The sequence below is a fragment of the Homo sapiens genome, chromosome 11 (genome assembly GCF_000001405.40).
Source record: "Homo sapiens chromosome 11, GRCh38.p14 Primary Assembly".
Taxonomy (NCBI): domain Eukaryota; kingdom Metazoa; phylum Chordata; class Mammalia; order Primates; family Hominidae; genus Homo; species Homo sapiens.
In genome coordinates, this window is record NC_000011.10 from 88,576,159 (window position 1) to 88,595,634 (window position 19,476).

At 35.8% G+C, this 19,476-nt stretch overlaps 1 protein-coding gene across 4 annotated transcripts in view; it reads right to left on the bottom strand.

Annotated features, from left to right (window-relative positions):
- GRM5 (glutamate metabotropic receptor 5) overlaps nucleotides 1–19,476 on the bottom strand; it is a 561,341-nt gene that overhangs the window by 71,517 nt on the left and 470,348 nt on the right. For all 4 annotated transcript variants that reach the window (NM_001384268.1, NM_001143831.3, NM_000842.5 and 1 more), the window contains exon 7: nucleotides 14,443–14,569. In NM_001384268.1, the coding sequence (NP_001371197.1) occupies nucleotides 14,443–14,569 (127 nt within the window). The remainder of the gene's footprint in view (nucleotides 1–14,442; nucleotides 14,570–19,476) is intronic.

Below are 19,476 nucleotides of genomic sequence, written 5' to 3' on the forward strand. Positions count from 1 at the left end.
CTCCCTTTCTACTTTTCTCCAGTCCCTTTTTACTAGCTAACTTCTCCTTATTCTTCTACTTTCCAGATTCTCCTTGATGAGTATGACTTTTCTGATTCCCTGAAGCTGACTGACAGGTTCCTCTCATGTGGTCAAATGGCTCCCTGGGCCTGTACCCGTCATAGCACTTGCATTCTTACTAATTGTGTATTAGTATTGTCTCTTTGAAATGGTAGATTTAGCAATTTGAGAGGAGGAGACTGTTTCTTTGCTTGTTGTATTTCTAGTGCTAGTCATAGTACCTGGCACACAATAGGCAGTTAAATAAGTTTAATGAATGAATGAATGATTAACAAAGAAGAGGGCAAGTAAGGAATAAGGAGGCATGCCCTTCATTTTCAGCTTGCACACAAATATTTCCTATTAATATGAGCCTTTTACTCTATGTCTCAATTTTTTCATATATAAAATGAAAATAATACAGACTTATCTTATCTATAATTAGGGTTTTAATCTGGAGAAACCCTTGCAGAAGAATTCACAGATGAGAAATTAAAGACCAATGACCTGAAAAAGGTCAGTGAAGCAATTTCTCAGAAATAAATTTATAAAATGCTTAAAGTTGTTTTTGTATTTTATTGAAATAAAACATTAAACTCATCATTTTAAAACCGATAGGGTATCAGTGGAATTTTGCACACATAATAGGAGCTATAATTTGGATTTTACGATTCATTTCTATTTATCCTTGCTAGCTTGCCAGACCCTTGTCAAGATCCCTTTCCTGCAGTTTTAGTCAGACTCATAAAATTGCTTATTTTGCAAATAAGCTGCATACTAAAAAGCACTTTCCTACTGTAGCTGGTCATCCATCCAAATGTTCAATAACTTTCTGATTTTGTGACTCAGAATTTTGCAACCACTCTCCAGGCCCCACTATATTCCTTCTGTGTTCCCATATACCCTTGATTTTTTTTTTCCTTTGAGGCATACCAGGACTATTCTAAGACCTGAAATTACATTACCTTTCCTAAGGAAGGTTGCAAAATTGTATGCATATTCTGCCACAGATTTTACCTCCTTTTTCTCTTTCCAAGCCTATTTGTTCCTAAATTTTAAGTATCGTTAAGTATTCTCCAGTTGAGCTATGGGCATACATTTAACTATTCAAATGCTCATGTTTATTACAGAAAGAAAATATGGGGACAAAGTGCACACATGTAAGAAAAATGTACAAGGGGAAAGATTAATGCCTCATCCCACCCATTAAAGAGATTGAACATTGTTCACACAGCACAGCTACAGCATTTCACTCTTGAGCACCTACACCATTCATACCACTTGGTCCACACTATGGTGATAGAAAGGTAATTGTTTGTTCCTTTAAAATAATGTATTGACCAAATGCTCAGGCTCTGTGACTTTACTCTGCTAGTCATTGTATTGAACACTTTATTCTTATTACCTTCTTTAATACCTACAAGGTCCTCATGCGATAGGGACCATTATTTCATCTATTTTCAGTTAAGGAAACTATTTTCTGTTGGAACTAAAGAGCATTTGAAAGGAACCATAGAAAGAGAAACACAGACATAGAGAAAAGCAGAAGAAATGTAAAGGAAACAGCCAAAATGCAAAAGTCAGATATGCAGAGGAAAAAACTCTACAGCATAGTAATGTATCAAGAGAATTACAATGTCTTTGGGAATTATTGCTGATAGTTCAGATGGGGAATTAGCAAAAGCTTTAGGAGGGAAGGTGATAATACCTATCTGCCTACATCTCAAGGATTAGTGTGAGGACCATATAAAATAAATTGGACAGTGGCATAATAATTATGAAGTGAGAGAAAGTGGAAATGGGGAAGTGTATATACAAAACGGTGTGACTCAACATCTGCTAAAGTGCCTGTTTTATTAGATTATCCTTTATTATTCTGGGGAAAAGCCAGGCTACTTTCTCTCTCTAGCTTGTTTAGGTATGTGTTGCCCCAAGTAAATGGTATTATGTTGTCTTAAATTGTCTGTAAGTACAAGACAGCCCATAATGCTTTGAATTTTTCATCACCTCAATTAATGTGATTTTTTAAGAGGTGTCAAGATAGGAGGAATTTATCTGCTTCATATTACTCATATAATATATCAATGCTTTGTGAAGCATTTTCCAAGTAGGTTAGATAATGCAATAGTTAGCACTGTATCATAATGTTTCTTGTTCTAAGGGGAAAATGTGATAATTTATTTTGGGTAAGCTACATTGACCAAAAACTGAAATCAATGAAATCACATTATTGTCTTCAGTCTGGCCATGTCAGAGTGGTTTTTGACCACAATGCCATTGTTTTGGTCAGACCACAAATTTATCATTGTGAAGAAGAACATGGTGAACATTTTTCATCGAGTGGTTTCTGGCAAGATGAAAACTGGTTTATGTTCTTTTCAGGGACCTGTTTTGATAAGTTCCACTAAGAGAGGGGCTTTCAGCCCTTTTTTTCTTCTTTAGTCAGTGGCGTTTACAAGTTTAAATATACTGACTTTTTGACTCATCTTGTAGGAAGAAAATTATTAAAAGTTAATGAACGTTGAGAAATTGGAAGAGTAAGAAGGCATTTTAGAATTTATCAATGTGTAAGCCCTGGAATCTCATTTTAAAAGAACCAGAACACAACATTGTTGTTTTTAGTGCTAACTGAAACAACTTTATCAAGCTAACTGTTTGAAAAAAAAAAGACAGTGCACAAAATTTTTCATTGCATTTTAGAGATCCTGTTAGAAAGAATCCATTGATTCACAATCACTTCCATATTTCCTGCAGCATCATGTCAAGGAAAAAGCACTAGTTTTACAGAAAGATGAAACAGGGTCTGAGCCTTACTCTCCTGCTTACTGTGTGATCATGAGCATGGATATTTTCAATTTTCAAACTCAATTTTCTGTAAAATGGAAATCATGATTCCAACCTTTTTTAAAGTTTATTTTTATAATTTTAATTTTTATGGGTACCTAGTAGGGATTCCAACCTTTTTGAGCTGTCAGGAGGATTAGGTGATAGAACACAAACTTCCTATTCTGATAGGTGACAGGTACTCAATACATGGGGATTTCTTACCTTTCTTCCATCCTGTATTCACTTCTTTAGTGAATATTCATTGAATATCTACTGTGTTCTAGCAGCCTGGTATTCTCAAATGAGGAAAATATACAAAAGTTACTGTATTTTGGCTTATATCCTAGCTGAAGGATCAACAGTATATGATCAGTGAAAATACATTAACACATAAACAATATAAAATAGTATGAGGTGATATAAGAGGTAGAGAAAAGAAGAGGTAGAACTGGATATGAGGGGGGTTAGTTTGTAGTATTAAACGGGTTGCTCAGGGTAGACATTTGAGCAAGGACTTGAGGAAGGAAAGAATAGTGGTCATGTGGTTATCTGCAGTAAAGCCTTCCAGGCAGATAACTGCTAGGGAAATTACCCTGGGATAAGAGCCTTTCTGACCTTTTAATGGAAGAACAAAAAGACCAATGTATTGGGAGGAAGAACCAGATGAAGTGAAGGGAAAAGTAGGTCAGACACATGACAGAAGACCAGGTCATACAAAACAGGAATTTGTAAGTACTTTGGCTTTTACTTTGAATGAAATGGGAAATCATTGTAGATCCTTATACAATGGAGTAACATGACCTGGCTTATTTTGTAAAAAGATATCTCTGCCTGGAATGTTGAGGAGAGACTGTAAGTAGGGGCAAGGGTAGAATCAAGGAGAAAAGTTAGGAGGTTATTTTCAGAAGAAAGATGATTAATGATGATTGTTAGACACTTTTACTGGAGGTAGTGAGAAGTGGTGGAATTTGGGATATGAAGGATTAGCCAATGGGATTTCTTTACTGACTAAAGGATGTGCAAGACGTCAGTAGATTGACTCCAAAGTTATTGGTCTTACCTAATGAAAGAACGGGTTTATTATCAGATGAAATGTAATAGTAAGGATAAAGCAGCCTGGGAGATTAAGAAGGTAAAGACCTGGATTTCAGTGATGGAAGTGTAGAATTTAAGATATCTATTAGATATTCAAATAAATATGTCAAGTAGGCAATGGAATATTTAAGTCTGGAGATTAGGTGAGAGATCTGGACAAGATACTTTACATCAAAATGTTTATTGTGTAGATGATATTTAATGACATGAATGAAACTGGGTATGATCACCAGTGAAGCAAGTGTAGACAGAAAAGAGGATCAACACTGAGCTCTGGAGCACTTCAGCACAATAGCCTTCATTTTATTTGAAATTCATAAATGTAAAAATATCAGTGGCAATAGATGCTAGATCCTTTTTGGGAAGGTTATTTTTTTATTTTTATTTTGCCAGTGAGGAAAATATCAAAAGTGTATAATGAAGTGATCAGTGAAACTAGAAACCTTTTTTATCAGGGACAATGATAAGATAGAAAAACAAATGGCAGGTGCTGTGTAGTATTGTCACGGCTTACGGCTTTCTGGGATTTCCAAGTCACCATTAAACTTCTGCAATTTATTCATTTAGAATCAGAAGGGCTATGAAGCTAATCTAAACGAAGTTAAAAGAGATGTTTATAACAGTAAGCTTAGTTCAACAAATAAAAATTGTCTACTCTCTGCCATTGATTGTGCTAGACAGTCATTGACTTAAAGGGATCTTACTTTCAAATGTAGAAGACATTTAATAAACACCTGTTAGGCCAGGCACAGTGGCTCACGCCTGTAATCCCAGCACTTTGGGAGGCTGAGGCGGCCTGACTAACAAGGTGAAACCCTGTTTCTACTAAAAATACAAAAAATTAGCTGGCATGGTGGCATGCGCCTGTAGTCACAGCTACTCAGGAGGCTGAGGCAGGAGAATTGCTTGAACCCGGGAGGCGGAGGTTGCAGTGAGCTGAGACAGTGATGTGCCACTGCACTCCAACCTGGGCGACAGAGCAAGATTCCATCTCAATAAATAAATAAATTTAAATAAATAAATAAATAAACACAGGTTAAAACTTTCCCCAAATTTTCTTCTTCATTCATTCTTAAATCAATCCATCTATCTCTCTATTCATTTTTCATCACTATATTTTAAAAACTTTATTAACAGTAGAGTGATAATAGTATTCTTGAACAGTTAATGCATACGAAACTTTTTGTATGCTATAAAATAGCTCTAATAATCTTATGAACTAGTTACTACTGTTATCTCAATTTTATGGAAGAGAAAGCTGACACTCACAGATAAAAATTTCCGTGCTTTAAGTCGCACAATGAGTCACTGGTGGAGTGTGAATTTGAACATGGGCATGTTTGACTCCAAAACCTTTTGATTTAAACCACTACACTCTTAGAAGAAAATAAAGATGAATTGTTGCAGATTGGTATTTTATGCAGCACAAATTCTCAGCTGTACTTTGTTACACTACATTTGCCATAAATTCAACTTCCTTAGATTGTACTGGTGAGTGTGTAATGTAGTGAACTTATCTAGAGAAACCTAAAAAGTGCTTAGAGACCTGGGAATTCTATTGTTAAACAAAAGTCACTTTCTTTTACAGCTGATCACCATTATGATGTTTGGTATTTAGGAAAGGATAGTTCCCATAATAGAGGCTTTGATGAAAAAGCGACCGTGAAATGGTGGTGTACTTGCTCTGAATGTTATATTGGAAAAAATATTTTGAGACACACATACATTCCTTAGATATGACATGTATCATTCCTTATGGTCTTTTTTTCTGCCTGAAAATTCATTTCTGCTTTACCTGGTTAGCATCTTATTTTCACATACATGAATTCCCTTTCCACCCAGAAGCTACCTCTGAACTTCCAAGACCTGGTTAATTTCCTCTCATCAACGTTTACTCCCATCCTAGCACTTTCTTTCCTTCCTTCATTCATTTCTTCATTTCCTCTCCTCTCTTTTATTCCTTCATTATACAAACATTAAATTGGTTCCTACACTATGGCAGGGATACTTAATGTATTGAAATTGCCTCTTTATTTGCATATGTCTCTGCCTAGGCTCTGCGATACTTGGGAGTAGGAAGTGGGGCTCGATCACCATTGTGTGCCCAATACTGGATCTAGTGCTATGTTTGGCACTAGTTGGAACTCAAATATGTGCTAATGAATAATTTCATCCTTTGTGCCACCACTGCATTTGGTGTGTGGTTTAACTATTGTATGCATTATATGTATAATTTAATGCAATTATTTAAGTAAGGTTAGGTACCTTCCATTTATATTTGTATCATCAGAACTTAGCACAGTGTTAAAAAAAGAGTAGGAATGTGATAAAATCTTTTGCTGAATGAATTAATGAATGATAGATAGCCAGCTGTATAGCATATGCTCCTGTTCAGATTACTATCTAACCTAGAAACCAAGAAGCTAGATAGCAGAATTCTGAAAGCTATTCCAGTTTCAATATTAACAAGAAATATTTATTAAAATTGTAATAATAAACTAAACTTATTTCTCATCAAAACTCATCAGAAATTTCCTCTAAAGAATCATAAACAAATAATATTTAATAGATGCCAAGAATTTTCCCTCCTTTCCTCATCTAAGTTTAATTATAATAGTCAAATAACACATTTTAAGCACATTTGGAATAAAAAATATCAGAGCAGCCTGGAGATAATTAACATGTGACCAGCTTGAAGCCGATTTTTTTTCCTTCTATAATTTCCTGAAAATATGGGGCTCTAAAATGTGATTGTGGAGAGAGACAGGTAGTATAGCATAAAAACCCCAGAATCATAGCACCTGGGATTTCTTTTCCACCAGTTTTGTGGTCTTGTCCATGTATAGAATGTTCCTGAGTTTTGTTTCATTCAACTGTAGAATAATAATCTCAACCTTAAAGGATTAAAAAAGGTAATGCTTAAGATAGTTATAATAATTGGAAATGAAAAGAAATCTTCCCCATGTTTTTATTTAATGTGCTTATTTATTAAAAGGCAAAAAAAAAAAAAGTCCCAAGAAAAGTAGGACAAGCTGAGGAACACAAATTAAATGCACATTTGTAAAAAGAGAGCAATTCCAATGCGGGAGTTATAAAACCTGCCAGTGGTTACACCTCTTGGAGCTCATCCTCTGCTCCCTCCTTGATTCTTACCAACATCTCTTTGTTTAACTCTGCGGCTTTTTTCCTCTTAAGTGAAGAGACAAATGTTCCAACCTCCAAAGCAATTAGGTAACTCAGGGAACCAAAGGAACTTCCTAGAGAACGTCCCTATTGACATTAAGCTGTTGATACATATTGCCTTGGATGGAATAAAATGGAAGCGTTTTACAGCTTTGGACTTACGTAAGATACATTTCTTTTATGATTGAAAAGCAGGAGATAATGCTAACTTCCTGTCATAGGACTTCCCACCTGGTTACTTCTTGAAAGACAGGCTATTTTTGCTCTTTCCTTTTACTTAGTTTATTGGAAGGTTGGCAGCATCTGGTAAGCCCCACCTGTAAGTGTTTCTGTGGCTTTGGACTGGGGACCTAAAGATCTTTAGAGCTCTTACTACTTATATCTCCTCCTAAATTCTTTGATACAAAACAAATAAAAAATTCTTTCTAGGACAGTTTTTGCAGATATGTGGCAGGGAATGGTGTCCCAGAAAAAGTGTCTTGGCAAATGCTTTTCAGATAATTCTCTGAACGTCTAGCTCAAATTGTTGCCTTTTATTACTTTTTCTCCTTTCTCTCTCAAACCAGACTACATTTTTCTGAGAACTAATTACCTTGTTCTATTGATTTTAATTCCTAATCAAATCTTTGTTGCTTTTGATTCACATTACATTATCCTTACCCAAACCACTGGTAGATTCACATGGATTTTTGCAAAATTTTCTTACCCTTATCCTCTCTTTATAATTCCCAACTTAGTCTTATATTTTAAAATCTTATCTTTTAGTGTTAAATATTTAAATAGCGCAAATAGTATGGAATCATTTAAATTATAAAATTTTTAAATATGCAGAGAAAAGTATATGGTATGGAACAAATAAAATCTATATTAAAAAATGTTAATATTTTGTCATATGTTTCAAATTACACACACACACACACACACACACACACACACATGCTAAAGCTATAACTAAAACCTATTTTGTAACTCCCATCTAACTCCCTTTCTTCTCTTACTAGATGATACTGCTATTCTGAAATCTGTATCCTTCCTTTTCATGTTTTTATACAATATCTACTCTTCACATTGTGACTATGTAAATAATATTTATAAAGCAGCCCATCATGATTGCATTTTCTTTCTTTTCTTTTCTTTTCTTTTTGTTTTTGAGATGGAGTCTTGCTCTGTCACCCGAGCTGGAGTGCAGTGGCATGATCTCCACTCACTGCAACCTCTGCCTCCTAAGTTTCCCAGGTTCAAGCGATTCTCCTGCCTCAGACTCCTGAGTAGCTGGGATTACAGGCATGCACCACCGTGGCTGGCTAATTTTTTGTATGTTTAGTAGAGACAAGGTTTTGCCATGTTGGCCAAGCTGGTCTCAAACTCCTGACCTCAGGTAATCCACCCAATGTAGCCTCCCAAAGTGTTGAGATTACAGGCATGAGCCACTGCACCTGGCACATTTTCTTTCATATTCAATTTTTGAATATTCCTGGAGATAATCACCTTGCTTAAAACTATTCTCTCCACTAGAATGTAAACATTATAAGAACAGATAATTTTACTGGTTTTGTTCATAGAAATATTTTCAGCATTTAGAACATTGCCTGAGATGGGGTTCACAACACTCTACTCCAAAATATGGCACTTTGGCATATTGAATTTTTTAAGCTGAAGGAATTTGAGAAACAGCAAGTGCAGAAAGACTTTATGTCCTTCTCCCACCCTTCACCCCTGAAGCAGGTCATAAGACCCTCATGTGAGAGGTGCCCTTCTTAGACCTGGAGGGAAGGAGCATCCCTATCTCAGAGGAGTCTGAAGGAACAGGCCTTGCTAAGTTTACCTGAGTTTACTTATGCCCTTTGTCCTATCTTCTTTCTCTACAACTCTTCATTTTACATCAAACCTAGCATACGAACAGCCAGGTTTAACTGCTTCTTCAGGTCCTTAGGAAGGTTCCAGTGTTACATAAAACTTATATTAAATAAATGTGTATGCTTTTCTTTTGTTAATCTATTTTTAGTTACAGGGGCCCCAGCCAATGAACCTAAGATGGATAGAGGGAAAATATATATTTCCTCCCCTGCAATTGGAACAGTGAAAGTGCTAGATACACATTTATTGAATGAATGACTAGATGACTGAATGAATAAATCTTTTTAAATTTCCCTTAAGATAAACTTTAAAATATTTACCATAGTTTACCAGGCTCCCCAAAAGGTGGCCTTTGCTTTCTTGTCTCATTTCTCCCTTATACTCTCAGTTCCATTTCAGTTCCTGTGTTCTGTGTCCACAACACTCTTCTCTTTCATTTTAGTTTGGCCAGCTCCCATCATTACTCCAATTTTTGCATGCCCACAATTCATTGAAGAGGCAATTTTAAATATCACCTAAGTTAGCTTTTACTGTTATGGGCTCTCACACCATTCTGGCCTTCTCTGTTGTCAATATTCAGTATCTTATTATTACTTTCAATATTTGGAAAAATTATCTCCATGAGGGCAGGGATCCTCTTTATCCTATTTACTGCTAGCATAGGTACCTGTTAATTATAAGACAAAGGAATAACTGCTTGCTGTCCTCAATGAAAATAAGTTGAATTGAGGACATGGGCTATGTTCTGACCTCATCCTCCATTTATTTCTCATTTCTTTCATGTCTTCTTGGTTTTCATACCAGATTCTTTATTTGTCTACCTAATTCTGGTGTTCCTAAGAATTTATGACTGCTATTGAGAATATGGCTGGCTTAAACATCATTTTAATGATTTTTATTGATGAAGATACATTCTCATAATATCATTCAATCCTCTGCATACATGTTTACACACACACACACACACACATATTCACATGTATTTATGTGTAAAAAAAGGAACCTGTAATCCTACCACCTGTAAACACCTTAACGTTAGGTAGCCTTCATTTAGGATATTTCTATGAAAAAAATATATACACATACAAAAAGTATATGGCTAAATATATAGGTAGACATTAATGTCAGTTGATTGCTACTTTAAGTTGTTTTCTGAACAATTGTTTAATTCCAGGTGGGCTGAGATCTCTTAGCCATGCTGATAATCTTATAGGATTGTGTTGACATAAAATGAAATAACATTTCCAAGATGCTGCAAACAGTTCCTGTCACATAGAAAGCATTATATATGTACTGGTTGTTATTATCACAATGAAGGCACTGACCCAAAGGTAACTTGAGCTGTCACATTATAGGCTGAAGTAAGGTAACTATAAGCCAAGTGCATATAAGAAAGGCTTGCAATATTTCCTAAAACTGGCCCCAAGCCTTTCTGTGGCAGGCTTTGGAATAGCTGAAGCCATCAGGATGTTCTTCTAGCTAGCAATTCCGAGTGATGTGTTACTTTGAATCAGAGTCACTGAGGTGGGCTTGCACACAGCTATAGGCTCTTTGGAAAAGTGCTGTAGATTCCAGTTAAAGGTTAAACTTCACATAATATCAATGCAAAGGCATTTCTAGGTTTGGCATTTTTCCCCTACCCAGACCACCCACACACATACACACACTCACATGTATGCACCTAGCCAGAGACAAATCATTTTATTCTTCTGTCTGAAAACCTCCACTGGCCCCACACTGTCTATATAGGATAAATTCCAAACTCGTTAAAGGCTTTACTCACAGGCTGGCCTTAATACCTACTTTAATCTTCATTTGTAACACTCTCCATCATTTTACTGGAGGTTGACACGTATTTACCGAAAGCTTACTCTATGTCAGGCATTGTATTAGGTGCTGAGATTACAAATATGTTTAAGGGACAGCTATGTCCATGAGAGACTAACATTTCAGTAGGAGTGGCAGATATGTATACAGATCATTAAAATTTAGTTTGCAAAGTGATTTAAAGGGGAAAGCAGAATTTGTTTTAGAAATACAGAAGGGGAAACTTAGCAGTCTAAGTATATCAAAGAAAGCTTCATAGAGAAAGTAACACCTGAACAGAGTAAGGGAGGGTAAGTGGGAGTTACTCAAGTAAAGAAAGAGGGGTAAGCACATTCCAGGTGGAGAAGACAATATGTACACAGACAGGGAGGAATAAAATAGCATTCTGTGTGGATGAGAATTATCAGCAGTCTTTGACAACAGAATGTAAAATGAAAGATGGAAAGCAGTGGTGATTGAAACTAGAAAGATCATAGGAGGGTGGGAAAGAGGACATTTTGTATGTCATATTGAAAGCTTGGAATATATCATACAGAGTTATAAAACCAGTGGTAAGTTTTGAGTGATGGGATTCAGGACACACTACCCTGAAGTGTGGCACCTTGGCATTTGAGAAAACAGCAGAAGCAGGAAGGTAACTCTCACCTTCCCCCCAGCATTCTCCCCTGAAGCAGGTCATAAAACTCTCATTTGACAGGTTCTCTCTCTGTACCCAGAGGAAGTGAACATCTGTATATCTCTAAAAATGCAAGGTCACTGACAGCAATCTGAACAAACACGAATAGCTGAGTTCTCCCCAGCTAACTATCATTAGATCATGCTTTTTTAATCCAATCATACTCCTCAATGACTTACCACTTCTCTATCAAACCTAGCATAAAAATACACAAGTTTTCCTGTTTCTTTGTGTTTTCCTTTCCCTATGTAAAACTTATCTTTAATAAATGTACATGCTTTTCTCTTGTTAGTTTGTGTTTTGTTCCAAGGATTTAATCCACAAACCTAGGCTGGGAAGAAACGATAATTACTTTCTCCTACATGAGCAAGGAAATAAAAAAGACAGATCTGTATTTTGGATACATTATTCAGTAGCAAGATCATCTTCTCCCATCAGCACCTTCTTCAAGTAATGTGATGACACCATTTCTTGTGTGCTTGGAAAAAGTTTCAGCTTGCTGTCTCCTTTGTTGTTTTAAAGAAGTGTTAGACAAAGCATTGTTTGCAAAATCTAGGGAGATAATGGAGTACACTTTGATTTGTTATTCTGTGTGAGCTATGATCTAAGTTATTGGCTCTTTCCAACTTTAAAAATTTTTGTTGTTAAAAGCACCTTGCTTAGGAAATTTTAAATATTTATGTCTGCAACAATTGTCTCAAAATAATAAACTGTGCCATTCCTGTCATTAAAAAAAGACCTGAATTCTTCCTGAAAAAATAGCAAGATCAAAAGTGGATTAAGAGGCATGTGGCATAAATCTAGGGGCAAGGGAATAAATTGGAAAGTTACTGCAATATTTAAATATGAGATGATGAGAACACCTCTTCTGACACTGTTCTCCTACCTGCTTACCCATATACAGACATTCACATGTGCTGTTACCCCAGACTGAAATTTCTTCTTAGTTATTATTTGCTAAATATTTATATTTATAATTTAGGTCGCAGTTAATTTTTACTTCTTCAGAGAGAAATTATATGACCACAAATTTAAATTACGACCTCTCGGATATTTCCATGTTTTTATTCCTGTTCTTTGACTTCATATATAATTTGTCAGTGAGGCACACAAATAGCCCATTAGCAAACAAAGAGCTGACTAGCCATGTGCATGTGTTGTTTTATGTCTCTTTCCCCACAAGATGGTAAGATGTATGAGGACCAGGATATAGGCAACAAGTGACACAGGAAGCATTGCTGTTTTTCCACCTCAATTTCTCAAGTACCTAATATTATAATGGAAATAGTAATAATAAAATATTTATCTGTTGAAATAATGAAAGTGTGTGTTCATTCTCAATATCATAGTCTTACAGAACATGAGACAAAAAGTTACATCTGTATATTCATTCACAAGGTGCTTAGCCATGCAAGTTAGTTGACGATGCAAGACAGTTTTTTATTTTCACAATAATCCAGTTTAAAATTAGAAAAACATGTAAATAAATAGTATAAAGAAAAGATAGGAATACTGCTCCTCACCCTTCTTCAAGAAAACCAATCATAGTATTTTTTTCTTTTTGGCATTTTTACTGTGTGTGTGCACACAGGTACACTATAGATCATCTATTCAACAAAATTTATTTAAGGCTTTGTGTTTAGAACTGGGGAAAACAGGATGAATAAGAGCATCAGAAAGCTCACAGTCTAATGGCAAAAATAAGATTCAAATGCGATCAAAAGGCACTTGGATGTTTTATTAAATCAGATTTTTTTTTTAAGAAAAGGAAAAGTCTCCTGTATACATACCAATCACCAAAGAAAGGTGAGCTGTCTTGAAAGACCCAGGATCATGGAATTTTTAATAACCAGACTTTTTAAATAAGTGAATACAACTACTATGAGTAAAATCATTCATCCTGGGAGGGATGGAGTCTAATACTGATGACTTTATGATCTTCTAGCCTCTAGAAGTTTTGTGCTAAATCCATCTGAATTCTAAAACCACTAGACAACCTGACATACCACATGGAGGGCTCTCTGCCTGCAAGGCTTTTTTCCTCTTTTTCTTGCATACTCAGTTCATGGGTGCCCTCCTCATGCTCCTATGTCTATAAATCTATGTCCTCTTATTATATTGTAATCATATTTTTACTTTTTTGCCTCCTTTATTAATCTGTGAACTTCATTAAGATAGAGGTAGTACTTTTATTTCTATATTTTTATTTTAGTGGTAGGAAAATAAGCACATGAGTGCATTTAATAAATGTTTATTGAAGAAAAATTGGAAGACAGTATGAAAGGAATCATATTCTGTTTATATATTGTAAAAATTAGAAAAGACTATGAAATATAGACTGGAGAACATGATGACATATTCTTTAACATCTGTTGGCACAAAGAAGCAAAAGCTAAAACAAAACAAAAAAGAAAAAAAATAAACAAGTAAAATCAAGTCTTTCCCTGTGCCAACAATACTTAAAAGCATATTAGTTGGAGACTCCTGATTTCAATTAATAAAAACAATTAACAGAAGAAAAGAACTTTAGATGACATTCTGCCCAATTCGGTGATATCTTTTTGTTCTTGGATATGTCATGACATATTTTTCTCACTGGCTAAAACTTCTTTCTCTTCACCTAAAATGACACACATAACTGGGACCCTATTTAGGAACTTCTGGGAATGTCCTGGGCATGAGGGAAGAATGCCCAGTAGACAAGCTAGGAATACTGATCTAATTTTGGAGTGAAGACAGACATATAGGCAGATCTCTCCCAGAGGTCTGAAGATTTGAATAAGTAGCTCAGACTTTGGGAAGCTTGTGTTCCCAAGGAAATTATTTGTTCCATAAATAAGACTACCCAAGATGAGTAACGCTTGGGGATGTGACCCCCCTCTCCCACGTCTGCACCATTTTTCAGTTAATTTATATGTGGTGAGATTGTGATAGATTACCTGTGAGATCATCAGTGGGCCAAGACCCCAGTTGGCATGCCTTGCATGTGTACTCATCAAAGACATACTCATTCTCCTTACAAGGTGTACAGGTCCAACAACAGCTGACTTCTCCCTTTCGGATCACCTAAGGCAAATATTTGAAATTTAGATTTTTTTTTGCATAGATAAAAATCCAACAATTCTATATTCCAATGTGCTGTTTTGCAAAGCAGAAAGGCCTTTCACATACATTATTTTAAATGTTTTCAGATAAGCAGTACAATTTTTAATATTAATTTATAATTAAAGAAAATAAGGCTGAGTTTAAACAAGTCCAGCGTCATAAAGTTAGCTTGTGGCAGGATAAAGAATTAAATTAAATGAAAGTCTTTGGATAATTAGCCTTGGAAACCTGTATTTAATTAAGTACCTGTGCTTGTGCTCATATGTAGATACACATAACTGAATTCACCCCAGGATCTGCTCTGCTTCTCCTTTCCTTAAGTTAAGAACTTCTGCTCCCTGGATTTACCTTAGCTTCCTTCCCTCCATTAGTTGAATAATTGTGAGCAAAAAACATTGTATATTTCCTAATCTTCTAAAATCTGTCCATATTGATAAAAATAATTAGGAATTTGTATTGGGTAGAACATAGCAAAAGATTAAGATTTTCCTGGAGATGATCTCTTGATCTCTTTCTACGAAAAATCTGATTCAACAATTCAACCCATTCTTTCCTATTTTGGTAGCCTTGTTTTGTTTGAAGGTAGATGAGGTCACTGAGACTATTATATACCTCTTAATCTATCTGACTTTTTTAAGGTAATGGAAAATAATTGAAATAATTTAACAGTTGAAAGAGTCACAGATGTTATTCTTTCGAAATAGATGTACCTTTTCTTCCCCACCATTGGTGCATGAAAAGCCTCTCCGGAATAGACAGCATTCATTAAATGTTCTTTTAAATAATTAAAACTGTGATTAATATTCAGCAATGACCAGAGACAGTAATGATTACACTTTATATTTCTAGTCTTAGATGCTAACTCTAGTAATGACCTTTGATAATAACATCAGCTAGATACCTATAGCCAAATATAATTGTAAGCTGACAACTGTTTGTTACATTTTTGTAGTATTTCTTGTGTTGACTCTTAAAACTACAAAAATACAAGCAGGGAATAATGGCAAAAGGGCCTGAAATAGCTTTTCCCTAAAGTAACTAAATAAGTGAGGCAAAATTGCTCCTTAGACCTGATTAAAGTATTCTTCATAATAATATCGACTATTTCCAGGCTCTTTAGTACTTGTCACATACTGTTATCCCATTAAAACATTAGAACAGCTCTGTATGAAGTAGCTGGTTTATTTTTTTCATTTTCTTAGGGGAGAAAACTAAGGTAAAGTTAGCTCACATAGCATGTTAGGGTAAATAAGGGATCAAACAATGTATGTTGGACTTCAAATGCTCATGCTTATAAACATTGAGTCTTACTGGAAGATAGACTGCGTGATATTTTGAAAGACGCAGGGGAAAGAGCACTGGCTTGGGAATCAAGTAGCACCAGGGTTCTAGTCTTATTTATAGCCACTAAGTAGTTGTGCAGCCTTGAGTAGTCCTCCAGCTAATGCTCAGTTTCTTTTAACTGGACCTGTTGCTTTTAAGATAATAATATCTACCTTATAGGATTTCCTTAGGATTAAATAAAACAACACAGTGATTTGTAAAGTGTAGAACACTCTAATAATGTTACCTATTTCATTAATAATATGCACATAAATGTCCATATACAGAAATGAAGAATTTCATTTTCAAGGTATACCACACTTGGCAAAACTATCCTTGAACAATTATTAGATTTTGTAATGCAAACAGGCATATTGCAAAGCTGAAGGAGTGTCTTTCAGAACTTAGCAGGGATTAGCAAATAAAAGCAGTTGCATTTCCCCCCACTAGAAATACCTTGATTTCTTATGGTTCAGTTTTCATTGGTTTGTGAATTTCAGGTGTTTATTAAAATAAATTCATGCCCTTTTCCAAGAAGAATTCCAACATTACAATCTCTTTTTGAATCAATAGTGATAACTTAATATGTTTTCCTCTGATAATTTAGAAATTGTTTTATGTTTTCATATTTTATGTTCTGTTTCACATCTATTTTGAACACGAGGTAGTGACAATTCTCTTTCATGGCAATTTAACATTCTGGAAGTAGTGGTGCTTTCTTTTTTATTTATTTTATTTTTTGAGACAGAGTCTTGCATTGTTGCTTAGGCTGGGAGTGCAGTGGCGCCATCTTGGCTCACGGCAGCCTTGACCTCCCCAGCCCAAGAGAGCCTCCCACCTCAGCTTCCTGAATAACTGGGACTACAGATGTGTGCCACCATGCCCAATTATTTTTGTTCCTTATTTTTTTTGAAGAGATGGGGTCTCACTAAATTGCCTAGGCTGATCTTGAACTCCTGAGCTCAAGGGATTCTCCCACCTCGGCCTCCCAAAATGTTGAAATTATACTCATGAGCCACTGCACCCACCCAGCGGTGCTTTCTTTATGAATAACAATATATAACATATCTGAAACTTTACTAGACTAAATCCTTTCATGGAAACTAAGTTTACAAACTCTGGAAAATGCCATGAGATGTTGATATCATGAATGAAATCGCTGTTAAACCATATTAAGAAAATCTTCTAAATTGTACATTTAATAGAGTAAAAATGACATCTGGTTAGGAAAATGGAGTTTGGGATTTTTAAAAAAGGACTAAGCAAATATTATTACAAAATGACCAGTATTAAAAATATGATAATAGGCTGGGTGCAGTGGCTCATGCCTGTAATCCCAGCACTTTGGAAGGCTGAGGTGGGCGGATCACGAGGTCAGCAGATCGAGACCATCCTGGCCAACATGGTGAAACCCCGCCTCTACTAAAAATACAAAAACATTAGCCAGGTGTGGTGGCAGGTGCCTGTAATCCCAGCTACTCTGGAGGCCGAGACAGGAGAATCACCTGAACCCGGGAGGCGGAGGTTGCAGTGAGCCGAGATCGCGCCACTGCACTCCAGCCTGGAGACAGAGCAAGACTCCGTCTCAAAAAAAAAAACAAAAAATTCTGCATGTGGAAGTTACATTTTCCCTTTCTTCCTTCCCTCCCTCCCTCCTTCGCTCCCTCCCTCCTTCTCTCTCTCTCTCTCTCTCTCTTTCTCTCTTTTTCTCTTTCTTTCTTTTTGACGTAGTCTCACTCTGTCGCCCAGGCTGGAGTGCAGTGGCGCCATCTCGGCTCACTGCAAGCTCCTCCTCCCGGGTTCACGCCATTCTCCAGCCTCAGCCTCCCAAGTAGCTGGGACTACAGGCGCCTGCCAACTTGCCTGGCTAATTTTTTTGTATTTTTAGTAGAGACGGGGTTTTACCATGTTAGCCAGATGGTCTCGATCTCCTGACCTTGTGATCCGCCCGCCTAGGCCTCTCAAAGTGCTGGGATTACAGGCGTGAGCCACCCCGCCCGGCCCTAGAAGTTACGTTTTCAAAATGTATTGCTGTGAAGGGTCAAAAATAAACAAAAATTATGTGGTAATTTACACTGTGTAATCTTTCTACAGGAAGCACTGGAAATTATGAATATGGATATTCTTGGTGTAATAATTCATGTAAATAATTGTACATGAATTTAAACCCCTCACAATGAAGAGTTTAACTGCAAGATAATTGGCCAAGATGAAAACCTCTTTTGTCTTGATATAACAAGTGTTAGCAAACTTTTTTTTGTACAAAGGACCAAATTGTAAATATTTAGGCTTTGGGCCATACAGTCTCTATTGCAACTCAGCAACTCAGCTATCCAACTCTGCCACTGTAGCAGGAAAGTAGCCATGGAGACTATATAAACAAATGAGCGTGGCTGTATTTTAATAAAACTTTATTTACAAAGACAGGTAGTAGGTCAGATTTAGTCTGTGGGCCATAGTTTACCAGCTGTTGCTGTATACCATAATAAGACATACAGAAAATTTCAGATATCTAATATTTTGAGCCATTTAGCAGACATTAATTAATTTATTTTTATCTTCATTTACCTTATCTTTCTTCTTTCTGGTCTTATGCTTTCCAAATCTTCAGACCTACCCTTTGAGGGCCTTACTATCAGTATTAAAATATTTCAGTTTCAGTCTTAATCACAGATGAAAAAACACATGAAATGCCTTCTAAACAGAGTGAAGGTAAGGTTGATTGAAAACACCAAGTCCAATGGCTCTAGGAATACACTGCCTGAAATGTGGTGTGGTAGTGCTTCAAGAACTGTTTGATTAGCAAATAAATTATTTTGATATCATTTTTCCTTACGGCATTGCATACCAATAGCTGCCCTAACTCCCTTTTTATTATATCTTTGTCTTCTCTTCCTTCATTGAATTTTCATTTCCTGTAAGTGTGGCCACATCTTCTTTAGCCTAAGAGTAATTTTTTAATGTCCTCAAATTACCAAATTATCCATTACATGCTTTTTTATCACATACTTCTTTTTCTTATACTCTTTATTTTTTTCAATTGACACATAATAATTGTACATATTTATGGGTTACATAGTGATGTTTTGATACACATATAACGATCAGATCAGGGTAATTAGCATAGCCATCATCTCAAATATTTATTATTTCTTCATGTTAGGAATGTTCAGTATCCTCCTTCTAGCTATTTGAAACTATAGATTACTTTTAACTGTATTCATCCTACAGTGCTAAAGAACACTAGAATTTATTCCTCCTATCTAGCTGTGATTTTGCTTCCTTTAACAAAGCTCTTCCTATCCCTCTCTTCCTCCTTCCCTTCCTACCCTCTAGTATGCTCTGTTCTAATTTTTACTTCTGTGAGATCAACATTTTTTATCTTGCACATATAAGTGAGAACACGTGATGTTTAATTTTCTGTCCTTGGCTTATTTCACTTCACATTCTGTTCTCCAGTTCTGTCTACGTTGCTGTGAATGACAGGATTTCATTCTTTGTTATGGTTTAATAGTATTCTATTATGTAGATAAACTACATTTTCC